Here is a 14644-nt window from a genome sequence, read left to right on the forward strand (position 1 = left end):
TTAAGAAAATCGCAAGGAAGAGAAAATATATTTACTATTTATTAAGTGGAAGTGGATCATTATAAAAGTCTTTATTCTCATCAACTTCACATTGAGTAGGCTGAGGAGAGGAAGGTAGAGGAGGGGGTGTTGATCTTCCTATCTCAGGGGTGGCAGAGGCACGAGAAGTAGAGGGGGTGGAAAGGGAATCAAGAGAGGCAGGCATACTAGGTATGACTTTAATTGAAAAAAAAAATCCATATATAGGTAGACCTGTGCAGTTCAAACACATATCGTTCAAGGGCCAACTGTAAACGCAATCCTACCACAAGGCCATGAAAATGGTGTGGGTATGTAAGTATGCTAGTAGGGGAATGACAACTGAGACTTTTATTCAATATTCTGCACATTTACTGAAGAACATTGCACACTCAGCACAAGCCATCTTTAGCGCTGTGTCATCTGACAATTCTGATCTCTCATGTTTCTGAGAGAAGACACACATGTCTTCTCAGAACTCCTCTACAGTGCTCAGTGTCTCACTTACTGCCCTGGGCAACTCTCCTCTTATTTCAAACATAGATACCCTCATTCAAAAAAACAAAATCCTGGAGCTAACTCGGCCTATTATTTTCTTGGATGCAATTTAGTGATCATTTTTTTCTTTTTGTTAACTACCAGTTGCTGTCTATGTGACCTCCTGAAAGTACATTCTTGTTCCTTGTCTTCGAAATGGATATATATTACCTACCTGATACAATTGAAATGACATCGCAGTGAGATAGACATTTAAGCCCTTAGAACAATAACTGGAACAGAGTAAGCATTTAATGATAATCCTAGCAGTGATACTATGAGGTCAGTATTTTGCAGTTTTGTTTTTCATCCTCATGTTACATAGGATGAAATTGAGGACCAGAGAGTCACACAGTCCGTAAGAGGCAGAGATGGAATTTTAACTCAGGTAGTTAGGCACTTATATCCACCCTCTTACCCTCCATATGCTATTACAGCCATCTTCAGAACTCAATAAATGGTTGTTGTTGTTGCTCTTGCTCTTGTTTTTATTTGAGCTTGTCTTTTAGATCTTGCCCCTGCACCAAGAGACTTATAATAGGTTTTCTTCCAAGAACATTTAATAATATTCATAAGAGCCCTTTAGATAAATGCAGTTTTCCCTCACTTCTTTACATTTATTTATTTCTGTTCCACTTGGTTAAATGGGGCTTAATGCCTTTTGATGTAAAAACATACAATACGACAGGAAAAAAACATAAAGAAAATTGGCTTACACAGGAATTATTTTTTCTATATTGTAATACATTCATCTAGAGTTTATTTGTAGACCCTCAAAAGGGGAACATGGTATAATGTCATGGAACATACTGTCAATGATATGGCTGCCACAAATAGAGTGGCAAGTAGGAGTAAAACTTTTCTTGTAGTGTTTCTCAGCCAAACCTGTGGGCCAAGTGCCAAAGCACAGTATTGTAAAAAGAATTTCATGAGAGGCCAAATCATAGCTGAGGGATGTCAAGCCCAGTATTGCAGCACCTTGAAGCACCTAGCAACAATTTTTCTTAAGTTCCAAGTGTAATTATGAAGTACTGTGATTAGTATTTTAATAAGGTTATTGGAATTGTACATCCAAATGCATGCTATCATTCCAACTCATCACCTTGGGAGGCTCTAAAGGTGATGCTATGCTAATGATGCCACTATGACTCAAAACTCATTTTAAAAATCTGCATTCAGTGCTGGTTTAAGGAATCAAACAAAACTACCAATCTCACTAGTTTGTAGTTATAAACTGCATCACTCAATTTTATCACCAGCCATCCCACCCACCATTCTACCCATCCCACCCATCATAGTACCCAAGGAATGACCAAATATCTTTGGCTGTATCAAAATGTAAAGCACCCTAAAAGAAGGTAGATTCGTTAAGAATAAAAATGTTATAAATAATACTGTTGGAGTTTCAGGGTGCTAATACATAACATCTGTATCTTCCCTCACTGAATTTATTTATTTATTTATTTGTTTGTTTGTTTGTTTGTTTTGGGGGGACGGAGTCTCACTCTGTCACCCAGGCTGGAGTGCAGTGGCGCGATCTTGGCTCAATGCAACCTCCGCCTCCTGGGTTCAAGCAATTCTCCTGCCTCAGCCTCTTGAGTAGCTGGGACTACAGGTGCACACCACCATGCCTGGCTAATTTTTGTATTTTTAGTTTAGATGGGGTTTCACCATCTTGGCCAGGCTGGTATCGAACTCCTGACCTCAGGTGATCCACCTGCCTCGGCCTCCCAAAGTGCTGGGATTACAGGCGTGAGCCACCATGGCCAGCCCCTTCTTGAACCTGCAACCAACGTAGAAATGGATGTTGGAGTTAGATATTTATAGAGCAACTTCCTACATTTACAGTACTAATGTCAAACAAGGTCTGTGGAAATGCAAGCTTGCTAATCCAACAGCCCTAGAATGAGACCAAATGACCTACCAGATCACTGACTGCTGGGATACCAGAAGACTTCTAGGGCAGGGGAAGGCCCCTTACTCATGGTGATCAGACCTGTGTGCACATCCTGGACAATCCAGGGTAGCTGCTCTGCAATAATCCAGGGAGGAGAGAGAATAGGATGACAGTCCCTAGTGTTTACAGGTTTTTATTAGATTCATTACAGCCAAATGGGAAACATGAACCAATTAAGGGCACCTAACAGACGGGAACTCACTCTTCCTCCCTAAGAGATATTGAAGTGGAGTAGGCAATCCAGATTTATACTCTAGCTAAAATTGCCTCATGGAAACACAGGGCCAAGGAAAAAGAGAAGATTCCCAAACTTCTCCATAGGGTCAACTGTATAACCCCAAAGACTCTGAATGCAGAGAGGTTGTGAGCAACAGCTCCAATACTAGAATGAATATACATACTGTCATGGTGACTATTTTTTATTTTTTATTTTTTTGAGATGAAATGTCACTCTTGTCCCCCATGCTGGAGTGCAATGACATGATCTCGGCTCACTGCAACCTCCACCTCCCGGGTTTAAGTGATTCTCCTGCCTCAGCCTCCTGAGTTGCTGGGATTACAGGCACATGCCACCACGGCCGGCTAATTTTTGTATTTTTAGTAGAGACGGGGTTTCACCATGTTGGCCAGGCTGGTCTCAAACTGCTGACCTCAGGTGATCCGCCTGCCATGGCCTCCCAAAGTGCTGGGATTACAGGCATGAGCCACCAAGCCCAGCCTGTCATGGTAACTATTCTAAAGGGGATAAACTTATCTAGTTGAATGCTGTTTAGCATTTTAGTAAAGTATTTGCTACTACGGCTTTGTAATATCTGTTTAAGAAATTCAATTCATTATATACATTTACTGTATATATGACAAAATGTTATGTACAAGCCTTGCAAGTTTGGGTTACAGTTGTGCAGGGACTAAAATGATACTCCAGCAGTGAGGGTTTCTGAAAAAGCGTCTTATGAGTACTTCTTCAGACCCCTGCTGGGCTAATCACCTTGACTCTAGAATGTGCCAGAGATACATGGGGAGGCTCTCTGGTCTGATAAAATTAATGCTGTCAGGCTTAAAAGATGGAATTATTCATAAATATTCCAAATACAGTTATGAAAATAAAGATGTAAGGAGAGGAAACAAACATGAGAAATTAGGAGCAGATGTACTATTTCTTTTATATGAAGGTTTTTTGATGTATCACAAATGGATAAACACGTGATAACCTCAGCAAATATTTCTCTACAAACGTACAGTAACAAAAACAAATGTAACTTTTGAATTGGATATTGTTTAATAAATGAATTAATTACGTGGAATTTGTATTACATGTAAATTTGATGGTGGCAGTTTAAGATAGTTCCTAGTATTGGTCAATATTATAGCATTTCTGGGTATTTCAGGACCGGTTTTACAGCTTAATAATCATCTCCTAATTATTGTCACACCCTTTACCAGCTGCTGTTTGCCCGTTTCTGATGCCATCATACTCTCTTCATTGAGTCCCACCTATGTGATCTTCTTTCCAGTTGTTAATTTAGTCATTTATAAACATGTTTGGTTTTGCACCATTTAGGCATTATAATTCTTACTCAGAAATATGTGCTTCCTTTAAAAAGATTATAATCTAGAAAGGGAGCTAAGCATAAATTGCTTTAACCTAAGCAGAGTAAATGCCATGGACAAAGAACACAGAATGTCCTTTAGGAATTCAGAGACTGAAATGGTTATTTCCATCTGGGAACATCAAGAAAGATTTCATGGAAAAAGTGACATTTGAACTGGGTCTTGAATGGGTCAGATTTGAGCATGAAGTAATGGAAAGAAGGAGGCAGAGAGAACAGAAGACACATAAGCTTGGCAGTAGAAAATTGTAAGGTGCTCCCTCTGATTAGGAAATGATCAGTTTGCCAAGGGATAAAATGAGAGAATTGGAAAGAGAGGGTAGGGTCAGATGTTGGATGATCTTGAATGCACAATTCATTGAGAATAATCAAGTAGGAGACTGCTATGGGCAGTCCAGATCTGTGGCCCAGGCAGAGTAATCATGCATCAGTAAGAAAGATGAATGTAATATCAAAGACTGAAGATGCAGGGAGTATTAGGAAGCTGTTCCAGATAATATTTTGGGCTTTGACGCAGAACTCATTTTCTCCAGTTAGAGCTTGGTTTATTGAGTACCTGTTAACACTCAGCACTTCCTCTTTGACTCACTCTTTTGTTAATTTCCTTCAACATAATTCAGATCTTCACTAACATCGATGTAATCAGCTATTGTGTATGTTAAAATACATTCTTCCCCGACATGCGTGCATGTATTCATCCAGTCTCCTCTGGTTCTATGAATGACTCCCAGAAAACATGCAACCCATTTATTCTGTTAAAATATGACTTGAGTGAGACCTATGCTCTTATTATTAAAAAAACTTTAGAAGTCACAACGTTTCCTTCTCAGCACTTTTCCTCATCCTGTGCCCCTTCCGTCATTGGAAGCTGTGACATACACAGGTTTCACCGAATGACAGGTATAGGTCAAAAGGTGTCATTTTTAATCATATTTAATTACGTTTAAAGTATATACACATTCAAGTAATTTTTTCAGTCATATGAAATGACTTCTGAATGCCTTACTTCCACTCAAAGGATTAAATCATAATCAGAGTGTCCAATTCTAATTTTCTTGAAAGAAATACTGCCCATTCATCTTCATGTTTCCCGGATCTAGCACAAAGACCTGGTAAACAGTGGGTACTCCCCAAACACAGGCTGAATGAAAGAATGAATAAGTGAATGAATTACTGTTTTTCTGGCAGTACTTTCTAACATTATAAAAATAGCATTCAGTTGGACTGCTTATACTTCAACCTTGGCCATACAATCTTTCCAATTATCTCCATTGCTCTGTTTTTCTCCTTATTATCTTGAACCATTTGTTCACTCCTTTCCTTTGCTTTTCTGTCTCCCTCAATTTTCCACTTCCCATTTAAAGAATGTGATGAATATTAATTATGTTTTAATATACAAAAATAGCACCCTCATTGCCTTTGATTTTTCTTTGACTTGTCCTTACTCTTTCTTTGACTTGTCCTTATTCTTTTGATTTTTCATTATTTTATGTGAAGCTCAGTCAGTGAGCCCTCTTTTTTTCATTTTATCTCGTCACTTCTTCCTTTTGTAACTGCATTTTCTTTTACTTTGCTTTAACTGTTTTTTCTCATTGTCTTCAAATTGTTCATGGTCATATCCCTTACTTTATACAGATAGCATCTAAATGCAAATATTCCCCAGAAAAATCAGAGTGGCAGAGGAAAGTAATGGTTTGAAATAAACACTGTATATTCAATTGGTTTCCAAATCAGCACCAGCTAAACAAATGCCAAATAGCAGTCCTTAGAGACACAAGATTAGTATGTTCTGAAATGAGAAGTTATCTTTTCCTCTCTCTCTAACTTCCCCTTCCTCTTTTTCTTTTAAAATAGCATAAAGAATTCTTGCAAACAACAAAGGAGACTTAGCTGAAACTTTTGGCCTCATATCAGAGAGTTCATGTTTGTCTTTAGACAAACAGATAAACAAACGGAATCTGGGAGAGGAAGCATTAATTTGACTTGCAAGCAAATCATTTTATACTAAATAAATGAAGATTTTGTATGCTATCCAGTTTCTTTGAGATGTATGTGCCTTATAAAGATGTTCCTAAAAGATTCAAAGCCATGAAAAGCATCCGTGCACTTTATTAAGGTGTACCTCTGGTTAATTTATGATGGAGTCAGCAAAGAAGTAGTCCAGTAGGGCTTTCTACCTGTGAAAAGAACATGGTTTGAAGCCACCAAGCAAATCTAAACTGTCATCTTTGTACTTACTAGCCACGTGGCTTTGGGCAAGATGTAGCCTGTCAGAACTCCAATTTCCTCATCTGCAAAATGTGGTAGATTCCAATTACATGTATGAAAGTGAAATAAAGCATTGCCTATAAGGGCTTGTAAGAGTACCAACAGTTTTTGGAGCTCTAACTTGTAACAATTGCACTATTAAACTATTTCTGAAAATAGTAATAAACATGTAATAACCCTAAATACATACTCTCCCGGAGTATGCAGTGATCTTTCACACATTCTTGCACACACTACCCTCTTTTCATAACATGCTCTCTTCCCAGTTTGTCAACTGGGAACAAAGTGAACATTTATTCATTCTTTATAACTTATTTGACACCATCTTTTCAGGAAGTTTGCTCTGCCTTTCCTGAGCATAACTGATTACTTCAGGCATTGAATAATTCAACCAATATTTACCCAATGACTTCTATGTGCCAGGCACTATTCTAGGAGATATGGAAACGATTATTAAAAAAAAAAAAACAGTTAAAAAAAAACCTGCCTTCATGGAGCTTACATTCCACTACGAGACAAGGACAGTCATCAAAACAAATAAGTAAAATATACAGAATGAAAAATGCTCATTAGTGCTATAAAGAAAATAAAGCAGAAAGAAATTACAAGATGCCAGTCTTGGGGATTTGGGCAGTTTCAGTTTAAACAGGCTAATCAACAAAGACATTTCAACAAATGTATGAGAGAGGAGAAAAAATGAATTACTTGGAAACTGGGTGAAAATTGATCCAGGCGGAGAAACGGCACATGCAAAAGCTCTGGAGAGCCACCTTTTGTTTATTATACCTCCGTACCATATCTATTAATACATTTATTAAAATATTTTGTAATTATTAAATGTTTAAAATAAATATATTTATGTTATATAAATTATACATTTTAAGTTTGCATTTAAGTGTCCCAGGCTATAAAGGCAGGAATTGTATCTCATTCCTCTATTAATTGTGCTATGTAGCAGAGTCTAGTCTTGAGCTGGTACTCAAAAATATTTTTTCCATTGAATTTAATTATGATACTAATCTTTTTGGACAAATGCTAATCTTTAGCATTGTCAATTGCTGAAGTAGTTGGTCAGGTTAGGAAGTCTTAGCATGGTTTGGTAGTCTGTTGTTGGCTACTGAGCAATAGACACATTCCCTTGGTGTCTTACATTTCCTTTTATTTTTCTTGCTAAATTGCTTCCTTGGAAGCTACTTTCTGATCAGAAGAAAGGTATTTGGGATGTTGTAGCAGCAATAGGCATTATACTTTATTTCACTGCACTTTGAATATATTGTGTTTTTCACAAATTGATTTATGGCAATCCTGTGTTGAGCAAGTCTACATGCTTCCTTCTTGTATCTTCATATCTTGGCAATCCTCACAATATTTCAAACTTTCTTATTATTTTATCTGTTATGATGATCTCTAATCAGTGATCTTTGCTGTTAATATTGTAATAGTTTTGGAGCAACACAAACTACACCCATATACGATAACCAATCTAATTGATAAATGTGTATGTTCTGATTGCTACAGTGACCAAACGTTTTCCTATCTCTCTCCATTTGCAGGGGCCTCTTTATTTCCTCAAACATAACGATATTAAAATTAGACCAGTTAATAACCCTAAAATGGCCTCTAAATGTTCATGTAAAAGGAAGAGTTGTGCACCTCTCACTTTCAATCAAAATGATTAGGCTTAGTGAGGAAGGCATGCCAGAAGCTGAGATAGGTTGAAAACTAAGCCTTTGTGTCAAACAGGTAACAAACCTGCACGTTGTGCACGTGTACCCTAGAACTTAAAGTATAAAAAAAAAAATACAAATGAAGGCCAGGCACGGTGGCTCACGCCTATAATCCCAGCACTTTGGGAGGTCGAGGTGGGTGGATCACAAGGTCAGGAGTTTGAGACCAGCCTGGCCAATATGGTGAAACCCTGTGTCTACTAAAAATACAAAAATTAGCTGGGCATTGTGGCAGGCACCTGTAGTCCCAGCTACTCGGGAAGCTGAGGCAGGAGAATTACATGAACCCGGGAGGCGGAGGTTGCAGTGAGCCGAGATTACGCCACTGCACTCCAACCTGGGTGACAGAGCAAGACTCTGTCTCAAAAAAAAAAAAAAAAAAAAAAAGAATATGAAGGAAAAGTTATTAAAGAAAATGGAAAGAGCTACTCCAGTGAATACAAGAATGATAAGAAAGCAAAACAGCCTTATTGCTGATCAAACCAGCCTCAACATTTCCTTAAGTCAAAGTCTAAACCAGAGCAAGGCCCTCTCTTCAACTCATAGAAGGCTGAAAATGATGAGGAAGCTGAAGAAAAAAAGATCTGAAGTTAGCAGAGGTTGATTCATGAGGTTTGAGGAAAAGTTCACTCCATATCATAAAAGTGTAAGATGAAGAAGCAAGTACTTATGTAGAAGCAGCAGCAAGTTATTTAGAAGACCTAGCTAAGATAATTGATGAAGTTTGCTACAATAAACAACATATTTTTAATGTAGGTGAAATAACCTTCTACTAAAAGAAGATGCCATCTAGGACTTTCATAGCTAGAGAGAAGTCAGTGCTTGGCTTTAAAGCTTTGAAAGACAGGCTGACTTTCTTATTAGGGTCTAATGCAGCTGGTAACTAAGTTGAAGCCAATGCTCACTTACCATTTTGCAAAACCTAGGGTTCATAAGAATTATGCTAAGTCAACTCTGCCTGTGCTCTATAAATGGAGCAAGCCTGGATGAGACAGCACATTTATTTATAGCATGGTTTACTGAATATTTTAAGCCTGTTGTCGAGACCTACTGCTTGGAAAAAAAATATTTCTTTCAAAATATATTACTGCTCATTGACAATGAACCTCGCCACCCAAAAGCCCTAATAGAGACATACAAGGAAATTAATGTTATTTTCATACCTGCTAAAACAACATCCATTCTCTATTTCATAGATCAAGAACTACTTTGGACTTTATGTCTTATTACTCAAGGAAGACATTTCCTAAGCTACAGAGGCCATAGATAGTGATTCCTCTGATGGATCTTGGCAAAGTAAGTGGAAAACTTTCTGGAAAGAATTCACAACTCTAGATGTCATTAAGAACATTTGGGATTCCTGGGAGGGGATCAAAATATCATTAACGGGAATTTGGAAGAAGTTGACTCCAACCCTCATGGATGAAATCGAGGGATTCAAGACTTCAGTGGAGGAAGTAACTGCAGACATGGTGGAAATAGTGAGAGAACTAGAATTAGAAGTGAAGCCTGAATATGTAACTGAATTGCTGCAATCTTACGATGAAATTTTAAGAGATAACGAGTTGTTTCTTATGAATGAGCAAAGAAAATGGTTTTTTGAGATGGAATCTACTGCTGGTGAAGATGCTCTAAACATTGGTGAAATGACTATTTAGAATATTACATAAACTTAGTTGATAACATGGTGGCAGGGATTGAGAAGATTGACTCCAATTTAGGGAGAGAATTACTACTGCAGGTAAAATGCTGTCGGACAGCGTTGCATGCTACAGAGAAATCTTTCATCAGAGGAAAAATCAATTGATGGAGAAAACATTATTGTCATCTTATTTTAAGAAATTACCACAGCCACCCCAACCTTCAGCAACCATCTCTGATGAGTCAGCAGCCATCAACATCAAGGCAAGACCCTCCACCAGCAAAATGATTACAACTTGCTAAATGCTCAGATTATTATTAGCATATTTTAGCAATAAAATATTTTTATTTTTAAGGTATGTACATTGTTGTTTTAGACATAATGTTATTGCACACTTAATAGGCTATAGTATAGTATAAATGTAACTTTTATATGCATTGGGAATCCCAAAAATAGTGTGACTCACTTTATTGAGACATTCACTTTATTGCAATGGTCTGGAACCAAAACTACAATAGCTCTGATCTTTGCCTATATAGTAAAATAAGAAATTGATAGATTTCAGCCTTTTTGTAGCTGTTCTCAGTCATTTTTGCAATATACAGTATACTTAGATTGGAGCCATGGCATCTTCAGTTGAAAAGAACCTGGTAGCATCTAGTCCAGGCATCATGAATGGCCATACCTATGGAGCCAGGTGGGTGACATATAGCAGTAGGATTGTGGCCAGTGGAAAGTGACTCCTTGTCTAAACGTGGCTACTGCAACTCTCTTCCAGGCATCGGGTGTCATGTCAAAATGAAAGATTAGTTTTTCAAGGTGTTTTGAGCAGTATTAGATCTATATGTTATATAAAATCTTCTGACTTTTCAATGTTGTCAACATATCCAGTTTTTTGAAACAAATAAATATGCCAAAACAAAATGCCAAACAAAACATGCCTGGGTACTAAATTCAGTCATTTTACAGTCTCTTATTTGGTTAAACCCACTCATTTTCTTTGGCAGAGAAAATAAGAAGTAGAAAAACCAAGTGCTTTGTCCAATCACAGAGTGAGGCAGGGGAAAACTCAGGACTGGAACCTCTAAAAATCCAAGCTGTTATAAAAAATCATTTCATTTTTCAAATGCAAATAATAGCTACTGTGTTTAATATACACATTCAGCTCTGATATTCAAATGCATTAATAAACATTGCATATCCTTTTTCTTTCAGTTTGTTTGAAGGCTTAGTGTAGAAACAACTTCTGTTACATCGAAGATCAAAACATCAGGTTTTGGAACATTTGCGTGCTCATTAGAGTTAGTGTCAAATGTATCTCCCTGGCTCACACTTACCTGCCATTGAAGGGAAAACATCTTATCGACTATTTATGGAAGACCCCGGGGCTTCCTCTTGAGAGATCTTGAACATGTAATTTTCACCACTGCATGGCAACTGCCACATTTCCTCCACCTCTGCCTCTGCTCCCAAACAACCCTTTACTAGTCACTGGTATTAACACTGCTGTGGATTTTACCCTCCAAAGTCATGATTCTTAAATTGGCTCCCTTCATTTTATTTCTAGCTAGTGCCTTGCTACCCTCATAGCACACTACCGGAAAGGGGAGAAGCATTTTTTTAGTTTATTATTTGTATTTATTATTATTTTTTTTACCCAGAGTCTCCATCTGTTGCCCAGGCTGGTTGCAAACTTCTGTGCTCAAGTGATCTTTCTCTTCGGCCTCCCAAAGTGTTGGGATTATAGGCGTGAGTCACTAACCAGGCCAAGAAGCCAGTTTTTACTGACGCATTTCCTGTTATGTCATTTTTGTTAGGGTTATCCCAAGGCCGCTTATTTTGCCTTCCAAAAATTACAGGAGTCTGTGTCTGTGTTGCATATACGTGTATGTGAGTGTTACACCTGTGTGTGCAACAGAGAGACAGAGAGAATCTTTCAACTTTAATTTTATAGGCTAAGTGGTTTTCAAAGGATAATTTAATGGCAAGAGAAAATAATAATGTTACAATCTCAAATGTTTATTGAACATTTTTCTCAATAATTTCTACTTTCATAATTTGAAAAAATGTATTGTCAGTTAATTGTTTAAATAATTTGATAATCTAATTAGTTAACGTATTTCTTAGTCTATTTTAAAGACAGGTTTTTCAAAGTATAATTTACATTAAGAAAATTTACCTTCTTAAAGTGGACAGTCAGGTGAGTTTTGACAAATGCATGCAGTTGTGTAACTATAATGATAATCAAGATGTGGAAAAATTTCTTCCCCCAAAATGTTCTCTTGTATAAAAGTATATAAAGTGCAAAAGTCAGTCTACCCCTTATCCTATCTCAATCCTTGGTAACTGGTGATGTTCCCTGTTCCTTTGATTTTTGTCCTTCCTAGAATGTCAGATAAATGGACTCGCACAGTATGTAGTCTTTTGTGGATGACATTTTTTCATAGCATAATGTCTTAGAGATTCATCCACAATGTGGCACATTTGCTCCTTTTTACTGTTGAATAGGTTTCTATTATATAAATATACCATGAATTGCTTATCCATTTACCAGGTGGTAAAAATTTGAGTTGTTTCCCATTTTTGGCTATTAATAGCTATTATATACATTTGGATACAAGTCTTTGTATGGATAAGAGTTTTCATATCTTTTGGAGCAGGGTAGCTTGGTTATATGATCAATATGTGATCAACTTATAAGAAATGGCCAAAATGTCTTTCAAAGTGCCTGTACTGTTTCACATTTTCACCAGCAATTTATGAGAGTTAGAATTGCTCCACATTTTTACCCATATTTGGTACTATCAGTCTTTTTAATTTTAGATATTTGTGAGGGCTAATTTTATTCATCACCTTGGCTGGGCCATGGTGCCTAGATATTTGGTCAAATAATTTAGATGCTTCTGTGAAGGTGTTTTGTATGAGATCACATTTGATTTGGTGGACTTTGAGGAAAGCAGGTTGTCCTCTATAATGTTGGTGGGACTGCTTCCATTAGCCAAAGACATAAATAGAACAAAAGGTTGACCCAACTTCCTCTGAGCAAGAGGGAATTCTACCGACAGACTGCCTTCAAACGTGGTCTGCAACATCAGCTCTTTGTGGTTTGCCAGTAGACTGTCACTGGATTTAACTATGCTTTCCTGAATCTCTAGTCTGTTGTTCTCCCCCACCAGATTTTGGACTCACTAAGCCTCCACAATGGCATGAGCCATTTCCTTAAAATAAATCTCTTTATGTAGATGTCTATCTATCTATCTTCTATCTTTCTAGATATAGATATAGATATAGATACATAGATATCTAGATAGATACATCTAGATACATAGATATAGAGATAGATATCTAGATAGATATATCTAGATACGTAGATATCTAGGTAGATATATCTAGATGCGTAGATATCTAGGTAGATATATCTAGATGCGTAGATATCTAGGTAGATATATCTAGATGCGTAGATATCTAGGTAGATATATCTAGATGCGTAGATATCTAGGTAGATATATCTAGATGCGTAGATATCTAGGTAGATATATCTAGATGCGTAGATATCTAGGTAGATATATCTAGATGCGTAGATATCTAGGTAGATATATCTAGATGCGTAGATATCTAGGTAGATATATCTAGATGCGTAGATATCTAGGTAGATATATCTAGATGCGTAGATATCTAGGTAGATATATCTAGATGCGTAGATATCTAGGTAGATATATCTAGATGCGTAGATATCTAGGTAGATATATCTAGATGCGTAGATATCTAGGTAGATATATCTAGATGCGTAGATATCTAGGTAGATATATCTAGATGCGTAGATATCTAGGTAGATATATCTAGATGCGTAGATATCTAGGTAGATATATCTAGATGCGTAGATATCTAGGTAGATATATCTAGATGCGTAGATATCTAGATAGATAGACATAGACATCTTATTGGTTTGATTTCTCTGAAGAACTCTTATTAACATCATGTTCTAGTGGGTTTATGATGGTATCTCACTGTGGTTTTAATTTGCATTTTTCTGATGACTAATAATGTTGAATATTTTTAATGTACTTAATGCTGTTTGTGTATCATCTTTTGTGATGTGTCTATTCAAATATTTATCCAGTTATCCAGGTTTTTGTTTGTTTTGTTTTGTTTTGTTTTGTTTTGTTTTGGTGAGGGGGCAGGATTGTTTGCCTTCCTATTATTGAGTTGTAAGAATTATTTACATATTCCAGATACAAGTCTTTTATATAATATGTGTCTTCCAATATTTTCTCCCTGTGAGTGGCTTGTATTTTCATTTACTTACCAGTGTCTTTAGAAAACCAAGAGTCTTCATAAAATCAAATTTATTGATTTTTCTCTTCTGACTCACGTTTTGGGTTCTATTTAAGAAATGTTTTTACGTAACCCAAGTTTGCAAAGAACTTTCCCTGTATCTTCTCCTAGATATTTTATAGTTTTAGATCTTACATTTAGATCTGTGATCCACTTGGAGATAATTTTTGTATATACTGTAATGTAAGGGTTGAGATTTATTGTTAGGTACATGATTATTTAATTGTTCCAACAGCATTGTTGAAAAGGCTATCTTTTCCCAAGTGAATTATCTTTTCATTTTTCAAAAGAATCAATTAACTGCGTATTTGTAGGTTTATTTATGAATTCTCTATTTTATTTCATTGAACTATATTTCTGTATTTGTGTCAATAATACTATAGATTGCAAGTGAATCTCAAAGTAAGGTAGTGTGAGTCTTCTAACTTTATTCATCTTGTTCACAATTATTTGGGCTATTATAGGTCCTTTGTATTTCCATATATAGTTTATAATCGACTTGCAATTTCTGCAAAAATATGCTGTGATTTTAATTGGGATTGTGTTGAAT

General features: G+C 36.6%; 1 long non-coding RNA gene across 6 annotated transcripts in view, besides 1 other annotated feature; it reads left to right on the forward strand.

Moving 5' to 3' along the window:
- LOC105374524 (uncharacterized) overlaps positions 1-14644 on the forward strand; it is a 507306-nt gene that overhangs the window by 88394 nt on the left and 404268 nt on the right. Inside the window, exon 5 of one of the 6 annotated variants that reach the window (XR_007058435.1) lies at positions 9314-10683. The exons of 4 other annotated variants lie outside the window; for them this stretch is intronic. This is a non-coding gene — a long non-coding RNA (uncharacterized LOC105374524). Of the gene's footprint in view, positions 1-5976; positions 6580-9313; positions 10684-14644 lie in introns of those variants that run through there. One more of the 6 variants, XR_007058436.1, reaches the window with a different exon arrangement.
- Positions 10836-12035: an enhancer, noted in NCBI's record as "MED14-independent group 3 enhancer chr4:23098384-23099583 (GRCh37/hg19 assembly coordinates)". NCBI's record gives its function as "activates an origin of replication core promoter dependent on BRD2, BRD4, P300/CBP and CDK7 cofactors, and independent of MED14, by STARR-seq in HCT116 cells {active_cell/tissue: HCT116}" and the evidence as "EXISTENCE:reporter gene assay evidence [ECO:0000049][PMID:35650434]".

Source organism: Homo sapiens, chromosome 4 (assembly GCF_000001405.40).
Source record: "Homo sapiens chromosome 4, GRCh38.p14 Primary Assembly".
Taxonomy (NCBI): Eukaryota; Metazoa; Chordata; class Mammalia; order Primates; family Hominidae; genus Homo; species Homo sapiens.